This window comes from Homo sapiens, chromosome 4, assembly GCF_000001405.40.
Source record: "Homo sapiens chromosome 4, GRCh38.p14 Primary Assembly".
Taxonomy (NCBI): Eukaryota; Metazoa; Chordata; class Mammalia; order Primates; family Hominidae; genus Homo; species Homo sapiens.
The window spans coordinates 44,924,588-44,929,369 of NC_000004.12; positions in this window are offsets into that span (position 1 = coordinate 44,924,588).

Here is a 4,782-nt window from a genome sequence, read left to right on the forward strand (position 1 = left end):
TGTTTCCCTCTTCATGGCATCTTCATCAAGCATGTCTGCTTCATGTTGTATTCTATTAGAGCACTTCTATCAATCATTAGCTGTGACAGTGAATTAATTGGGTAAATGAATCCTTACTTTGGTGTTAATAAGAAACAATAGCTTATAAGATATTCCTCCCAGGTATATGTACCATTGTCACCGAACTCCTTTTGCAGTAAAGTGTCAAAGTATTTTCAGGAACTGAGGAAAGTTGATAGAAGGGCAATTTGGGGACAGCATTTAAAAAGGCATTTAGTTCCATTCAGAGGACACACACTGGTAGATTTGTTCATTTAGCAAATATTCTTTCCTTCATTCAGCAAGTATCCCCCCTCCCATATGCCATGCCTGTTGTAGGTGCTGGACATACCATAGTGAATAGGACAGCATAGTCCTCATACAGCCCCCACCTAAGTCTGTTAGGTATCACATGCTCTTCTAGGGGCTGCAAAGTCCTTGGAGGTGAATAAGATAATAGACTCTACATTTGAGTCTGCAGACTCAGAAGCCTCAGGTAGGATAATCTGGTGATGCTTTCTCATCTATATATATTCATAGAATTGCTTGTATATGGGATGAAGACTGACCTGTACTTGCCCTTTCACAGAGTTTGCTGAAGACTGCTGAAGGTGAACATCCAATAATGCTTTAAGAAATATTCCTCTGGCCACTGTGTTGGGAATTTAAACCAGGGTTCACAAACACAAATACATATATATGGGCCTAATAGACCAAAAGAAAAAGAATCAGTGCTATCAATTGGGTATAAGACAAGGTGGATTTTGGGGAACTATGTTGAGTCAAAAAATATGTTACTTAAAGGAATTCAAATATAAAATGCAAAAACACATGACCATCCAATTAAAGCACTGATGAAGACCCCAGAACTTGATGTGTATGTCATTAAATTTTTATCTTTGATTAGCAGAATTGACTAATCAAAAACTGAATATATTTAACAAATCCATAAATTATATTTATATGTATGGCTCCATTGGGATGGTACCTATAAGTTATCTTAAGTAATATTATATTAATCTGTTCAAAACAGTTATTTTACACCTACTATGTCCTGGGACAGTTCTAGGTGCTTGAGATACATTGGTAGCAAGTTAGATGAAAATTTCTTTGTGGCGTTTTTGTTCTGGCATGAGTAAATAACAGAAATGATTTTTTAAAGTACCATGGAAAAGCCAACGCTAATTAGAAGATGCTTGAGGTGGCTGCAGTTTTTAATAGGAGATAAGGAGAATATGTTGAAAAGGTGGAATTGAGCCTTTGTTTTTTTTAATAATTCATGAGGGAGTCGGCCATGCAGATAGTTGGGAAGTGCAGTCCCGACTGAGGGAAGAGTGAGGGGGAGGGTAATCTGGAATCATGTGAGGCCTATTCAAGTGACAGCAAGGAGGCCATTGTCACTGGAGTGAAGTGAATGAGAGGTAGAGCAAGGCTAACAACCTTCTAAACCATTTTAAGGATTTTAACTTTTCTCTAAGTGAAATGGAAATTGTTGTGTAGTTTTGTTAAATTATGTTTTACAAAATGTACTCCAGCTTCTATGTTGAGGGTGAACAAAGGTGGAAATATGGAGACAAGGTGGAAGGCTATTTCACTAATCCAAGCAAAAGACAATAGCATATAAGATATTTCTCCCACACAGCATGTAACGTTCCACTGAACTCTTCTGACAATAAAATATCAAAGTATTTATAGGAGCTACATCATGCTCAGATCAAGGTGGTAGTTATGATTATAATTGTTGAGAAATTTGAGAAGCTGTTAGCTTCTAGGGTATTAGATGACAGCAACAGTGAGTTATCGGATGACATGTAATTAGAAGCTCTGGTATTAATAGGAAAGAGGAAGCAAAAATGTCTAAAAGCAGGAATAAGGACTTAGTCTCTTTTACTTTCATACCTACTAGGCTGTGTTTGTAGGGGGAGGGAACCATTGCTCCATGAGAGAGTTGTAGGAAAGCATAGTTCTCAAGTAATAACTAGATTTTAATTTCGGCAGGAAAATAAAGAAAACACTGGTAGAAGCGCTTGAGAATGAATTGAGAGGATTTTTGTTGATGATGAGCCATGTATCTCAGAGGGTACAATGGATGCTTTTAGAAATTGAGTGAGGGTTGAAGGATACAGAATAGGCCAGTGAGTATATAAATTATCTTCCAAGCAGAGTGTTTTTGCAAATGTAGAAGGATATTACTGATGTAAATGCCAGGACAGTAAGCATAAGTCGGAACTATTTCAGCCCCACCTGGACTCATGATAGCCCCAACTGCCTTATGAGAATTAGAGTGTGAGAGATGAGGGGTGCTTTGGAATTGGGGGCTTCTTGAAGAGATAGTCTTGAAAAGGGATAAACAGCCTAATGAGATTAGTCTTGCTGGATTCAAGGCAGATAGTAGCAGCAGAGTTGGAATATAGAGAGGGAAGTCACTATATTTGAGCTGAGACTTGAGTGATGAGCAGAAACAGCCTTATTTCAATCTGAAGAAAGAGAGAAAGTCTTCCAAGTAGAAGGAACATCAGTGACAATGGCTTGAAATCTTTGAGGAAAATAAAGGCTAGCGTGGCTGGGGTATCGTGAACAAGGGGGATTCGACAGCTCAAGTAGACAATGGCTGGAGGTAGTGTCTTTTGAGCTAAGCCTCTATCCAAGTTATGAACTTTCATCTAAACCCAGAATCTTTTGACAGTAAAAGATTAACTTTTAGTTAAAAAACTAAACTTTTAGTAAAAAAACTTTTACTAAAAAACTAACTAAACTAACTTTTAGTTACTTTTTTACTAAACTAACTTTTAGTAAAAAAATAACTTCGTTATTGAGTATGCTGTGACAGAAGGTAGAAACCTGGCTAGTCTCAGGCATGCAGGGATGTATGGTCATTTGAGTTTTAAAGCAGGTGAGAATTTGCTGTAGTTGGACTATCTTATTCATATTGTCCACCTGGTGGCACTATAGGACAAGACAGGATTTTTTTCTTTTCTTTTTCTTTTTACCTTTTTTTTTTTTGCCTATCTGACCTGATATTGACATTTTCAGGAAGTCTGGTATATGTGTTTCCAAAACCTTCTGCAATTTGTTAATTGTATTCATGGAATGCATCCATGCATTTTTTATTCTGTAGGTTATTTGTAGAAACCATAAAAAACAAAAACACCCTCCCTAATGGAAAGTGTTTTATTCAAAATAGATATAATCATTTCTCAAAATGCTAGTCATACTTCCCTAAAGGAAAATCTTGCTGCTTTATAACAAGATTCTAAACAAGGTGTATAAATTTAAAATCAATTATGTGCTAAGAGCTGACTTGATTCTTTGAGTTGTTGCTGAGTCACCTTAACAGCAAAATTAGGCCTCTCTGGGAGTCAAGACTTCTAATACATTTTTAGCCACGTCTTAGGAATTTAATATCAGGTTTTCCTTAAATGTTAGTATCTAGACTCTGTTACTGGTAGTGAGATGATCCAGCCTGGGAATCAGAGCCACCGAAGGCCTTTTGAAGGGAAGTGCAGACAGGTCAATTGTCACAAGGAAGTCCAGGGATGGCCAGGCAGACAGGTGGCTCTTTTGGCAGATTAGTGGAACATGGAAGGAGAAGCATTTGGCAACAAGTAATAGATAAAGCTCCAGGAAATCTGTCTATGTCTGGGAGGCTTGGTAGTAGAGAAGGGTCTTAATCACACGAACAAGGGTTTAGTCTTTGGATAAAGAACAGCTATTTTTAAATGCATCTCCCCAACTAGTATACTTGGGGTGAGGGTTATGGAAATAGTGACCAATTCCCTCTGTCTCTGGGACATGCTCAGGATGGCCATTATGGAGTTGGATGCAGATTCTGAACAGACGGATGGAGGCTAGGACCAGACAAATGCTGACAGACCATTACACTATGGCAATAATAACTTCTGCTTAAATAGCTATGGGCTTTGCTGTGGCACATTAACCTCCAAAACCACCAGGACTCCCTTCCGTAGCACAACGATAAGCAGAATTCATTCTATTCTCAGGTACCGTATTTTATTGGACCCAAACAATAGATGGGTTCCTGAGGGTTCAACCAGGACACTTAACTGACAGTGGAAGAGGGACTGTAGAGCTCAGAAAATGGGATTCCTAAACATGTAGAGCTGAACACACCTAGAGCCACCCAAACCAAGTTTTTACTCCTTTAAATTGTCTGTCATTTTATTCAGCTAAGAGAAAAATAAAATGCTTTTCTGTAACATATTTGATATTATCACATAATAGAAATCCCTGCGAAAACCTGGCAAAATGTTAACAAACATAAATGTGGCTTTAGTGAAACTTAGCCTTATTGCTGGATTTCCCCTTGGCTTACGTTTTTCTCTTGGCACTGTGCAGGTAGGCATAAAAATGTGCACAGCTGTGTTAAACATTGTTATTAAGAGCAAATCTTTCCTTAATCTTTAACTAGGAACAATACACTCCCTTTCCAGAAACTCAGTAGTTAATTTTATCTTTCATTTACTGCCTAAGACTTTTGTCATTGTGATGACTGTAATTATTATTAGCTACAAAAATAATCAGGGTACTTAAAAATACAAAAGATATTTCAGGGAGAAAGAGAGGATAAAAATAGTATGTCGCAAAGGAATTATAGGATATGAATTTCAATGTAGCTCCTATGGACTGAGAGATGTTTGTACAGTCTGTTCTATTTCCACTTTCAGGTAAAAAGTAATTCTGGTGGTACAAATTCATCTTTAGTGTGACTTTTTTTTTTTAACA